Genomic DNA, 13,093 nt, shown 5'->3' with positions numbered 1-13,093 from the left:
ACGTAAACAAATAAGTAAATAAAATCTCTTAACTATTTTTTTAAATTATATTGCAATAATTATAAATATAAAATAATTGAATAACATTTGAACTATACAGTTAAGTGTAAATATATTTTATATTTGTGTAACTGCCAAAATGGAAAATTGTATTTTCTATTAAAACAAAAATATTTCTACATAGAAAATTCAACCAACACCATATTAATTTAGGACAAAATATAAATTACTTTGGATATACACTAATGCGGTATGGGTACTTTCAAGATACGAACAATATAGCCAAAATAACCTTTTTGCTCGCCAGCGATTATTTTTAATTAAAAATAATATATTTTAAAAACCTTGCAGTTGATTCATGTAAATATTTCATTTTTATCGAAATTAGCTTTTCTAGTTGTAAGAAATTGGAATACACCCACTTTGATTTACTACATTAAAAAATATAGCTTAGAAATCTCATGGGTAATACACTATCCCTAGGATTTTTATAGGCATGCTATCTTACTTAAGAAATTAATTTACATAAGCATTAAGCATGAAAAAGTTGGCAAAAATCTTTATACTGTATTCTTAAAATGTCTTAACAAATAGTACCTAGTAAGAGTTAAAAAGAACACAACTTTTAGATTTATATTTTAGTGCTAATTCAGCATATAGTGGTTAAAAGTTTCTGATCAAATCATCTGAGATCAGAATCTGTCTCTTACATTTATTAGCTGTCTAGCCATGGACACCTCATTTCACCTTCCTGTATGTCAGTGAGTATGTTTTTGTTATTGAGTGCTTCTCAAGCTTTTTAACACATCATCAGAATTTAAGACATATTTGTTGTTGTGACCTCTTACAGTATTTTTACATAGAGGCCCAACCTTTCTTAAAATTAACACCGTTTCCAGATAGCATTTCAAAAGTAAATTGCTCAAATTAAGAGAATAAAACAATTAATGGTAAATAATGCCAGACATGTGATGCAAACCATATACATACTGTCTCTCATGTCGTTTTCATAAAATACTTCTAAGAAGACTTTTTTTTCTAATTCCATATTATACAAAGGCTTACCATGCTTAAGTAAATTAATCAAGTCACACAGCAAGTGTGTCTTCTTGATAAAATTTCAGGCCCAGGGGAAGGAGAAAGAAATGGCATGATGAAGATGAAATGAAAGATGGATGAAGAATATGATGATAATTAAAGTAAAGCAAAATATTTTAATCTTGACATGTAAATCACTTAAGCAGTACTTAGTATATATTCAGTGTCCAGTAAATTTACATTTTTTTGTTTTTCTTAATCTTCCTTTCATGCGCGTATCTGTGAAGAGACCAGCAAACAGGCTTTGTGTGAGCAACATGGCTGTTTATTTCACCTGGGTGCAGGTGGGCTGAGTCCAAAAAGAGTCAGCGAAGGGAGATAGGGGTGGGGCCGTTTTATAGGATTTGGGTAGGTAAAGGAAAATTACAGTCAAAGGGGGTTTGTTCTCTGGCGGGCAGGAGTGGGGGTTGCAAGGTGCTCAGTGGGGGTGCTTTTTGAGCCAGGATGAGCCAGGAAAAGGACTTTCCCAAGGTAATGTCATCTCTTGAGGCAAGGACCGGCCATTTACACTTCTTTTGTGGTGGAATGTCATCAGTTAAGGTGGGGCAGGTCACATTCACTTCTTTTGTGATTCTTTAGTTACTTCAGGCCATCTGGGCATATACATGCAAGTCACAGGGGATGTGATGGCTTGGCTTGGGCTCAGAGGCCTGACATTCCTGCCTTCTTATATTAATAAGAAAAATAAAATAGTGTTGAGGTTTTGGGGCGGCAAAAATTTTTGGGGCGTGGTATGGAGAGAGAATGGGCGATGTTTCTCAGGGCTGCTTCAAGCGGGATTAGGGGCAGCGTGGGAACCTAGAGTGGGAGAGATTAAGCTGAGGGGAGGTCTTGTGGTAAGGGGTGATATTGTGGGGATGTTAGAAGAAACATTTGTCCTATAGAATGATTGCTGATGGCCTAGATACGGTTTTGGATGAATTGAGAAACTAAATGGAATAACAGAAGGAGAAAAACAGGTATAAAAAGTCTTAAGAATTGGGACGACTCAGGATATCTGATTAGAGAGTGCCTAAGGAGATTCAGCATAGTCCTGCCAGCAAAGATTATTTATTTACTTCAAGAGTTAAGAGTGGCAGTTTGGGGATAGCACCAGGAGATATCAGCTGTGATGGCTTGGAAAAACAGTGTAAACCAGCAGTGTAAACAAGAGCAGGGCATGTATGAGTAGTTAGGAACGGTGAATAGGAGTATGACTAGACAGAAGATAGCAGGGAAGACAAGTTTTTTAGGGGCACAGTCTAAGTTGGTCTGGTGTCTGGAATGAGACCGGGGCCTAATAAAAAGGAGCATCTATACAGGAGCTCCAATGGGCTGTACCCTGTAGCATTCCGAGGACAGGCCTGAATTCTGAGAAGGGAAAGTGGTAAAAGTATTGTCCAGTCCTTTTTAAGTTGGTGGCTGAGCTTGGTGAGGTGTGTTTTTAAAAGACCTTTAGTCCATTCTACTTTTCTTGAAGACGGAGGACCATAAGGGATATAAAGGTTTCACTGAATACTAAGAGCCTGAAAAACTGCTTGGCTGTTTTGACTAATAAAGGCCCTTCTGTTATCAGACTGTATTGAGGTGGGAAGGCTAAACTGAGGAATTATGTCTGACAGAAGGGAAGAAATGACTGCGGTGGCCTTCTCAGACCCTGTAGGAAAGGCCTCTACCTATCCAGTGAAAGTATCTACCTAGACTAAGAGGTATTTTAGTTATCTGACTCAGGGCATGTTGAGTAAAGCTAATTTGCCAGTCCTGGGTGGGGCAAATCCTCGAGCTTGATGTGTGGGAAAGGGAGGGGGCCTGAATTATCCCTGAGGAGTAGTAGAATAGCAGATGGAACACTGAGAAGTTATTTCCTTGAGGATAAATTTCCACAATGGAAAGGAAATGAGAGGTTCTAAGAGGCGGGCTAGTGGCTTGTACTATAGTATAACCTGCCTTTGCTGGTGGTGTGTGGCGATTAGGCCTGGTGGAACCGCCATCAATAAATCAAGCGTGATCAGGGTGAGGAACAGGAAAGAAGGAAATTTGGGGAAATGGGGTGAATATCAGGTGGATCAGAGAGATACAGTCATGGGGGTCAGGTGTGGTATCAGGAACAATGTGGCAGGCCGGATTGAAGTCTGGGCCAGGAACAACGGTAATTGTGGGAGACTCAACAAAGAGTGAGTACAGCTGAAGGAGCCGGGGAGCAGAAAGTATATGCATCAGGTATGAGGAAGAAAATAGATTTTGGAAGTTATGAGAACTGCAGAGAGTGAGTTGAGCATAGTTTGTGATTTTGAGGGCCTCTAAAAGTATTAAAGCAGCGGCAGCTGCTGCACACAGACATGAGGGCTAGGCTAAAACAGTAAGGTCAAGTTGTTTGCACAGAAAGGCTACAGGGTGCGGTCCTGGCTCTTGTGTAAGAATTCTGACCTCACTAACTATGCCTAGGAAGGAAAGGAGTTGTTGTTTTGTAAAGGATTGAGGTTTGGGAGATTAGTCGGACAGGATCAGCAGGGAAAGCACGTATGTTTTTATGAGAATTATGCCGAGATAGGTAACAGATGAGGATGAAATTTGGGCTTGATTGAAGTAATGGGGGCTGTCTGTGAAGCCTTGCGGCAGTACAGCCTAGGTTATTTGCTGAGCTTAATGGGTGTCAGGGTCAGTCCAAGTGAAAGCGAAGAGAGGCTGGGATTAAGGGTGCAAAGGAATAGTAAAGAAAGCATGTTTGAGATCCAGAACAGAATAATGGGTTATAGAGGCAGGTATTGAGGATAGGAGAGTATATGGGTTTGGCACCACGGGGGGGATAGGAAAAACAATTTGGTTGATAAGGCGCAGATCCTGAACTAACTTGTAAGGCTTGTCTGGTTTTAGGACAGGTAAAATGGGGGAATTGTAAGGAGAGTTTATAGGCTTTAAAAGGCCATGCTGTAGCAGGCGAGTGATAACAGGCTTTAATCTTTTTAAAGCGTGCTGTGGGATGGGATATTGGCGTTGAGTGGGGTAAGGGTGATTAGGTTTTAATGAGATGGTAAGGGGTGCATGATCGGTCGCCAAGGAGGGAGTAGAGGTATCTTATACTTGTGGGTTAAGGTGGGGGGATACAAGAGGAGGATGCAAAGGAGGCTTTGGATAGGGAAGAAGGGCGGCAATGAGATATAGCTGTAGTCCAGGAATAGTCAGGGAAGCAGATAATTTAGTTAAAGTGTCTCAGCCTAATAAGGGAACTGGGCAGGTGGGGATAACTAAAAAGGAGTGCTTAAAAGAGTATTGTCTAAGTTGGCAGCAGAATTGGGCAGTTTTAAGAGGTTTAGAAGCCTGGCCGTCAATACCCACAACAGTTATGGAGGCAAGGGAAACAGGCCCTTGAAAAGGAAGTAATGTGGAGTGGGTAGCCTCTGTATTGATTAAGAAGGGGACGGGCTTACCTTCCACTGTGAGAGTTACCTGAAGCTCGGCGTCCGTGATGGTCTAGGGGGCTTCCGAGGTGATTGGGCAGTGTCAGTCTTCAACCGCTAGGCCGAGAAGATCTGGGAAGGAGTCAGAGAGCCTTGGGCCAGAGTTCCAGGGGCTCTGGGAGTGGCTGCCAGGTGAGTTGAACAGTCCGATTTTCCGTGGGGTCCCACACAGATGGGATGCGGCTTAGGAATCCCGGGCTGCGGGCATTCCTTGGTCCAGTTGCCAGATTTCCAGCACGTGTAGCAAGTTCCTGTGGGAGGAGGTTCTGGAGGAACGCCTGGCCGCTGCAGTTGAGACATTTGGAAGTTCTTATGTGCTGGAGATGTGGCTGGGGTTTGTCTCAAAGTGGAGGTAAGGAATTGCAACTTTTTTCTATTATTGTACACCTTGAAGGCAAGGTTAATTAAATCCTGTTGTGGGGTTTGAGGGCCGGAATTTAATTTTTGGAGTTTTATTTAATGTCGGGAGCAGATTGGGTAATAAAATGTATTTTGAGAATAAGACGGCCTTTTGACCTTTTAGGGTCTAGGTCTGTAAAGTGTCTCAGGGTTGCTGCCAAACAAGTCATGAACTGGGCTGGATTTTTATGTTCGATGAAAAAGAGCCTAAATGCTATCTGATTTGGGATAAAGAAAAAGGAGCATTAACCTTGACTATACCTTTAGCTCCAGCCACCTTTTTAAGAGTAAATTGCTGGGCAGGAGGGAGAGGGCTAGTCACGAACAAAACTGTAAGCCAGACCAGGTGTGAGGAGGGGAGGCGATAAAAAGATTATAGGGTGGAGGAGCAGAGGCTGAGGAAGAATTGGGACCTAGCTCGGCCTGGCGAGGAGCAGCCTGGGGAGGAAGGGAGAGGTCAGATGGGTCTGTAGAAAAGGAAGATTAGAAAGACTCAGCGACGCTTGGGGTTGGTACTGAGGGGACAGGTGGGAGGGAAAGAAGAAAGATTTGGGACGAGTTGCACTGGGCACAGAGACTAGGAAGGAACTGATGTGTAAAAGAATGCCTGGATGTCAGGCACCTCAGACCGTTTGCCTATTTTACGACAATAATTATTTAGATCTTGCAGGATGGGAAAATTCAAAGTGCCATTTTCTGGCTATTTGGAACTACTGTCGAGTTTGTATTGGGGTCAAGCGGCATTGCAGAAGAAAATAAGGCATTTAGGTTTTAGGTCAAGTGTGAGTTGAAGAGGTTTTAAATTTTTGAGAACACAGGCCAAGGGAGTAGAAGGAGGAATGGAGGGTGGAAGGTTTCCTATAATGAAGGAAGCAAGCCTAGAGAAAAGAGAGAGTAGAGAAATGGAGGGAAGGGGTTCGGGGGTTCTTACCTTCCAGAAAAGTGGGAAAAGGGGTTCGGGCTGAGAGATAAGAGGTCAGGGTGCAGAAATAAGGGATTGGGGAACAGAGATATGAGGTTGGGACACGGAAATAAGGGATTTGGGCGCAGAGATACGAGGTTGGGGCACAGAAATAAGGGATTGGGGCACAGAGATAAGAGGTCGGGGTGCAGAAATAAGGGATTGGGGCGCAGAGATAAGAGGTTGGGGCACGGAAATAAGGGATTGGGGCACAGAGATAAGAGGTTGGGGCACGGAAATAAGGGATTGGGGCACAGAGATAAGAGGTGGGACATGGAAATAAGGGATTGGGGTGCAGAGATAAGAGGTTGGGGCACGGAAATAAGGGATTGGGGGTTCTTGCCCCGTAGAAAAGCAGGACTTGCCACTAAGGGTGAAGGAGAAGGGGTTGAGGGGTACTTGCCCCTCTCCCAGAAAAGTGGGACTTGCCGCTAAGGGTGAAGGCGAAGGGGTTGAGGGGTACTTGCCCCTCTCCCAGAAAGGCAGAGAAGGGGTAGAGACAAGGAGAGAAGGGGTTGGGGTACTTGCCCCTTCCCCAGAAAAGCGGGACTTGCCGCTAAGGGTGAAGGACCAAGGCAGGCGTCCCTGCGTGGTCTGACACCCTTGAAACGTGGGTGTATAATCAGAAAGGTGCCCCTGCAATGATTAAACACCAAGGGAAGGCTGCCTTCCCAGTCTGTGACCTGCGCCGGAGTTTTGGGTCCACGGATAAAACGTGTCTCCTTTGTCTCTCCCAGAAAATGAAAGGAATTGAAATTAAGAGAAGGGAGAGATTGAAGAGTGGAAAGGAGAAAGTGGTTGAGGGACAGTGAGAGAGGTTGGAGAAGAGAGTAAGAAGAGGCTGCTTACCTGATTTAAAATTGGTGAGATGTTCCTTGGGCTGGTCAGTCTGAGGACCTGAAGTCATAGGTGGATCTTTCTCAGGGAGCAAAGAACAGGAGGACAGGGGATTGATCTCCCAAGGGAGGTCCCCCGATCCGAGTCAGGGCACCAAATTTCATGTGCGTCCGTGTGAAGAGACCACCAAACAGGCGTTGTGTGAGCTACATGGCTGTTTATTTCACCTGGGTGCAGGTGGGCTGAGTCTGAAAAGAGTCAGCAAAGGAAGATAAGGGTGGGGCCGTTTTATAGGATTTGGGTAGGTAAAGGAAAATTACAGTCAAAGGGGGTTTGTTCTCTGGCGGGCAAGAGTGGGGGTCGCAAGGTGCTCAGTGGGGGTGCTTTCTGAGCCAGGATGAGCCAGGAAAAGGACTTTCACAAGGTAATGTCATCAGTTAAGGCAAGGAATGGCCATTTACACTTCTTTTGTGGTGGAATGTCATCAGTTAAGGTGGGGCAGGGCATATTCACTTCTTTTGTGATTCTTCAGTTACTTCAGGCCATCTGGGCGTATACGTGCAAGTCACAGGGGATGCAATGGCTTGGCTTGGGCCCAGAGGCCCGACACTTCTCACTGATCATATGCCAGTGTCTTTACTTATCTCTCCTTATGCAGATACCGTGCAATTTACCTCATGTTTTCTGCTATCCACAGGAAAACTCACACAGTCATTTCAGAAGCTACTATTCAGATGACATAGATATTATATTAGAGTAACAAATATAATGAAATAACGTTATTTAGTGGCCCATATTATCAATTTAGTATTTTGGAAAATATCACCTTGTGAATATAAAAGTCTCATTGTTATATGGATAACACTTCAACAAATATAGATGATGTACATGATCATGAGGATCATGATAAACTCTTCTGCCACTGGGGAGTGGGGAAGGTGGAATTTATATATATATACACATATACATATATATATACACGTATACACATATATATATATATACATATACACATATACATATATATACGTATACACATATACATATATATACATATACACATATACATATATATATACATACATACATATATATAACAGATATAACTCTGTATAGAGCTTTAAACTTGAGGGAGGAAAAAATGAATGTGGGGTTTGAAGAAGAATTAAAAGTTGTGCAAGGGCTAACTTTTCTTTCACATCAGAGTTTTCAGAATGTTCTTTTCTTTCATGCATCATCTTTTCTCAGTGTTACAGTTGTCACTGCATATTGATCTCTATTGTAAAAGCTTGCTAGTTTCTTTTCTTTTCTTAAGCTGTGTTCCCCTCCACTGTATCCTGCAGCAACCCTTTCTACTCATCATAGCATTGGTTATTTAATTGCTAGGATCAAACTTCTTAGTTTTGATCCACTAAGAAAAATATATTTTTGCCTTTCATAGTAATATTCTTCTGTGACACTTAAGTCACATTTCTAAATGTATTTAGCCTCAGATACATGCCAATAAAATAATTTATTGATTATGGTTAAAATTGACAGTAACCTAATGACAAGCTGATTTTAATACTTTATCTTAAAGCAAAAATAAAATTGTTTAATTTCCTTACATGGCAAGTGTAATGAAATTGAACAATAGAAGGTCCTATTTGCCCACCAGATACTATCAATAACAATAATAATTTTAATAGCTAACTTTATTAAGTATTTCTCATTCTAGGTATTATTATCATTTTGTGTGCATTATCTCACATTTTTTGTTTTCATTTTTACACATAAATAAAATGTGGCTTAGAAAAGTTGACATTTGCATTAAGTCAAATAGGTTTAAATGACTGAGTAGAATTAACCATGCCACAAGTTTACCTCTACTTAAGAAAAGCCTTACAATGATATAGAATGTGACATGCAGAAATAACTAATATAGAAAAGAATACACACGTAGAGAGAGCAAATAGTCTGAAGAGACCATAATCTAGACATTTGACTAACAAAAAAACTCAGTAGTTGGTTTTTTAAAATTATTAAATGAAAAACTAGTGCGACCTGCAGAATAATGGCTCTACAAAATATACACACCCTAATCCTCAAAATCTCTGAATATATTACTGTCTTGTCAAAAAGACTTTGCACATGAGATTAAGTTAAAATGTTTGAGATAGGGAGATTATTAGATTTGCCAGATTGGCACAATGTAATCACAATGATCCTTATAACTGTAAAAGGGAGGAAGGAGTGTCAGAGATAGAGAGAGGTTTGAAGACCTTGCACTGCTAGGTTGAGGAAAGGGCCATGGATGGAGTACTGGGGTCATTATTCAAGGAATACCGATGGTCTCTAGAAGCTGAAAAGCACAAGGAAACTGATTCCCCATAAAGCCTGCAGAAGGGAATGCAGCCCTGTCAACACCTTGATATTAGCTCAATAAAACCCATTTCAGACATCTGATTGCCAGAACTATAAGATAAAATACTGTGTTGTTTTAAGCTGCTAAATTTGGGGATGGTTTGTTAAAACCGCAATATAAAATGAATAAACCAGTCTCTGTAAGGATTGCAAGTCTAGAAGAACATTGGGCATTTACAGAAGTGCATATTAAAGACAAATGCTAATGAACAACAACAACAATAACAGCCACAATTTATTGAGCATGCTCCTGTCAATTCATTGATGAGGAGACCAGAATTAATTCTGCCTTACAGAAGATGAAATAGCTTCAAGAAGTTGTATGTATGTCCAAGGGATAGAAGGTTGGTGGTGAAAAAGAAAGTAACATAGCAAGAAAGAAATGGCACACTCAGGAAAAAAAAAACAAAACAAAACCAAAAAACAGAATTTTGATGTCATTCAATTAATGACATCTATAATCAATAAAAACAACTGTCAGTTTCTGTTACAACAGTGTACTTAGGGTGACTGAACAGTCAAACTTCCATGGCTCAGACTTGGTCAAAAATCTTTATAGAATATTCTGTTATCAACTTGTCTATGTAAAATACATATTAAATTACCACAGAGTATAAATACAAAGTCAAAAAATGTTTAAATTGATTCAAGTACGTTTAGTGACATTTATTGAAATTTGTATTAAAGTGCTACCCTTTGGAGCATCTTAAAATTTATGTTGTCTCTGACCTTAAAAGAAAGAATACTTAAATTTTTGACTTACCATTTCTAAAATCACAGCAGAATTCTTTATCTGAGTTAGCATAAAACCAGTAAGTTGATACTAGAAAGATCTTAATTTTTTCAAGAGGGGAAATTGTTCCACAGCTTAGAAATCTGTTGGTATAAAGATTGATGACTTTCATAAATTAATGAATGGCTATTGTCTGGAAAAATCCAAAGAAAAAACATTTTTAACCATAATCAATAAATTATTTTATTGGCATGTATCTGAGGCTAAATACATTTAGAAATGTGACTTAAGTGTCACAGAATAATATTACTATGAAAGGCAAAAATATATTTTTCTTAGTGGATCAAAACTAAGAAGTTTGATCCTAGCAATTAAATAACCAATGCTATGATGAGTAGAAAGGGTTGCTGCAGGATACAGTGGAGGGGAACACAGCTTAAGAAAAGAAAAGAAACTAGCAAGCTTTTACAATAGAGATCAATATGCAGTGACAACTGTAACACTGAGAAAAGATGATGCATGAAAGAAAAGAACATTCTGAAAACTCTGATGTGAAAGAAAAGTTAGCCCTTGCACAACTTTAAACTTGAGGGAGGAAAAAATGAATGTGGGGTTTGAAGAAGAATTAGAAATACAAGACTATGACAAAAATGTGTTATTATGTGATTGGGAAGATTGTGTTAATAATAAAAATAAGCAAGTCGTCAATCATTTCAATATTGTCAAGTTCATTGAACTATAGCTTGCCATATTTTACTTGATTTTATATAGCTTTGCTTATCTTGAAACTCTTTACTTTGGATTATGTTTTGTGTCATACCTTTATTTCTCTAGAAAGGATGATTCTTTGATATTTGTTTTAATTTTTATTTTAAACATATTACATTAAACATGCATCACATATATCTGTTAAGTATATGAAATATACATTAACCAAATGTAAACATATGCACAAATCTGCAATAGTGTAATTGTTCCTCCTCTATAACAACATCCAGCTTGCACAGTCATCAACTCACACCAATCTTATTTCATGATATCCACCACATTCCTTGCAGCTATTATTTTAAAGCAAATCTCACAGAAAAATGTATTGGAGAGTGTTTCATCAGGATGTATCTTTAAAACATAAATGTTATTTAAAAAATAAAAGACAGGCCAGGCGGTGGCTTACACCTGTAATCCCAGCACTTTGGGAGGCCGAGGTGGGTGGATCACCAGGTCATGAGTTCGAGAACAGCCTGGCTAACATGGTGAAACCCCGTCTCTAGTAAATATGAAAAATGAGCTGGGCATGGCGGCACATGCCTGTAATCCCAGCTACTTTGGAGGCTGAGGCAGGAGAACCGCTTGAACCTGGGAAGCAAGGTTGCAGTGGGCCGACGTTGAGTCATTGCACTCCAGCCTAGGCAACAAGAGCAAAACTACATCTCAAAAAAATAAAATAAAAATAAAACACAATGGCAAGGCATTCATACATCTATAAATTGACAACTATTTAATATCAGTATCTTTGGTTAGTAATCAAATTTCTAATTGTCCTACAAATTTCATTATGTAAATTACAAAATATTTGCTGGAAACTGGAGCCAAAAAAAGGTTCATAATTTGTAATCAGTTATGGAGTCTTTAAGATTCTTTTAATCTATAGGCTTTCTGTTCCATATCTTGCTCTCTCTGTCACCATACCAACACTGCCAATTAATTTGGAAAAGTGAATTGGAAAATTTGTCATTAGAAGTTTCCAGAGGCTCAGTTTTGCTAATGGCATTTTCTATCTCTGTATTTCTTTTCTTTTTCCTTTTTTTCCTCTGAAATGGAGTCTCGCTCTGTCACCCAGGCTGGAGTACAATGGTGTAATCTTGGCTCACTGCAACCTCCACCTCCCTGGTTCAAGCAATTCCATTGATTCAGTCTCCTGAGTAGCTGGGATTACAGGCAAGTGCCACCATGCCTGGCTAATTTTTTTTTTTTTTTTTTTTTTGTATTTTTGGTAGAGACGGGTTTCACCATGTTGGCCAGACTGGTCTCGAACTCCTGACCGCAGGCAATCCACCCACCTCGGCTTCCCAAAGTCCTGGGATTACAGGCGTGAGCCACTGCTCTTGGGCATATCTCTGTATTTCTTTTAAATGGGTGGTTGAATTTGGAGACAGAGTCAAACTCAGACTATTTAATAAGACTACTTCGAAGATGAAGGGCATTTCTTCTTGGGCTTTTAATGGATGTCTTTTCTTCCTTTCAATATATTGACATTCCATAAGCCTCCATTTCTGACCTAATTCTCATTAGTGCTACATAAAGTATGAGGTCAAGCTTGCCCAGAAAATAGCTTCAATAACTGCCAACCGTACACTGACAAAATCTCTAGTCACGTATTAGATTACTGTCCTGAGTAGAAGCCCTGAATACCTACCTTTCTACTGCAAGAAGTATCTCATAATTACTGTGTCCAAAATTAAGTAATATGTATTTCCTTGGAAACCTGCTTTTTATATGAATTTCAAATATCAAGAATATAAACATTGAGACTAGACTTGCTCTCTTATTCATGCTCTGCCAACTACTCACTAAATAAATTTCACGAGTCAATTGATTAATATAAGCAATTAATTTATAAAAGTGGAGATGTATAATAGTAAATATTTTCGTGCTATTACATAAATGCTTTTCCAAGTCCTCTCCATACATATTTATTAAATAAATCTTACACCAACTTTATGAAGTTGATATACTATTTTAGTTTTACAGATGAGAAAATAGTCACTGAGAGGTTAAGTAATTTGTCCAGGCAGTCAGTTTTCAGAGTTCATATTCTTAACATTCATTATATAATATTTTTATAAAAGAATAAATGGCTTAGTTAAAAAATTAAAATAGTGTCTGAAGCAATTTAACTATAGTTGACTGAAACTAACTTTTTTTAAAATTAAGTTTAAAGTATCTTAGAAAGTTACATATAAGACCATTTACAAATTGGCTCTTCATTTTCTTTCCAGCTTCATTTATATCTTCATAAAGAATTTGTCCTTCTTTGCTCTACTGTAATTTCTCAGTGATGTCTTACGTTTTTGCCCTTTTGTTCTAGAATGCATTCTGATTGCTCTTGGCATCTTATAAAAAATATGTCCTTGAAGACACAACTCACATTCCATCTCTTAAGAAGCCTTTTGAGGTGTAAGGTTGAATTTGATGTTCCTCTTTGATATTTTTGTTTGTAATTGT

General features: G+C 39.2%; 2 annotated features.

Annotated features, from left to right (window-relative positions):
- Window positions 6,612-7,534: an enhancer, noted in NCBI's record as "OCT4-NANOG-H3K27ac hESC enhancer chr8:115293734-115294656 (GRCh37/hg19 assembly coordinates)". NCBI's record gives its function as "activates a minimal SCP1, AML or CMV promoter by ChIP-STARR-seq in naive and primed H9 embryonic stem cells {active_cell/tissue: H9 hESC(naive and primed)}" and the evidence as "EXISTENCE:reporter gene assay evidence [ECO:0000049][PMID:30033119]".
- Window positions 11,847-12,038: a silencer, noted in NCBI's record as "fragment chr8:115289230-115289421 (GRCh37/hg19 assembly coordinates)". NCBI's record gives its function as "represses an EF-1alpha promoter that drives an FKBP-Casp9 reporter gene in an ReSE screen in K562 erythroleukemia cells {active_cell/tissue: K562}" and the evidence as "EXISTENCE:reporter gene assay evidence [ECO:0000049][PMID:32094911]".

The sequence above is a fragment of the Homo sapiens genome, chromosome 8 (assembly GCF_000001405.40).
Source record: "Homo sapiens chromosome 8, GRCh38.p14 Primary Assembly".
NCBI classification, from domain to species: domain Eukaryota; kingdom Metazoa; phylum Chordata; class Mammalia; order Primates; family Hominidae; genus Homo; species Homo sapiens.
Note: the sequence above shows the minus strand (reverse complement) of the source record. Positions and strands in the feature narration are given on the sequence as shown.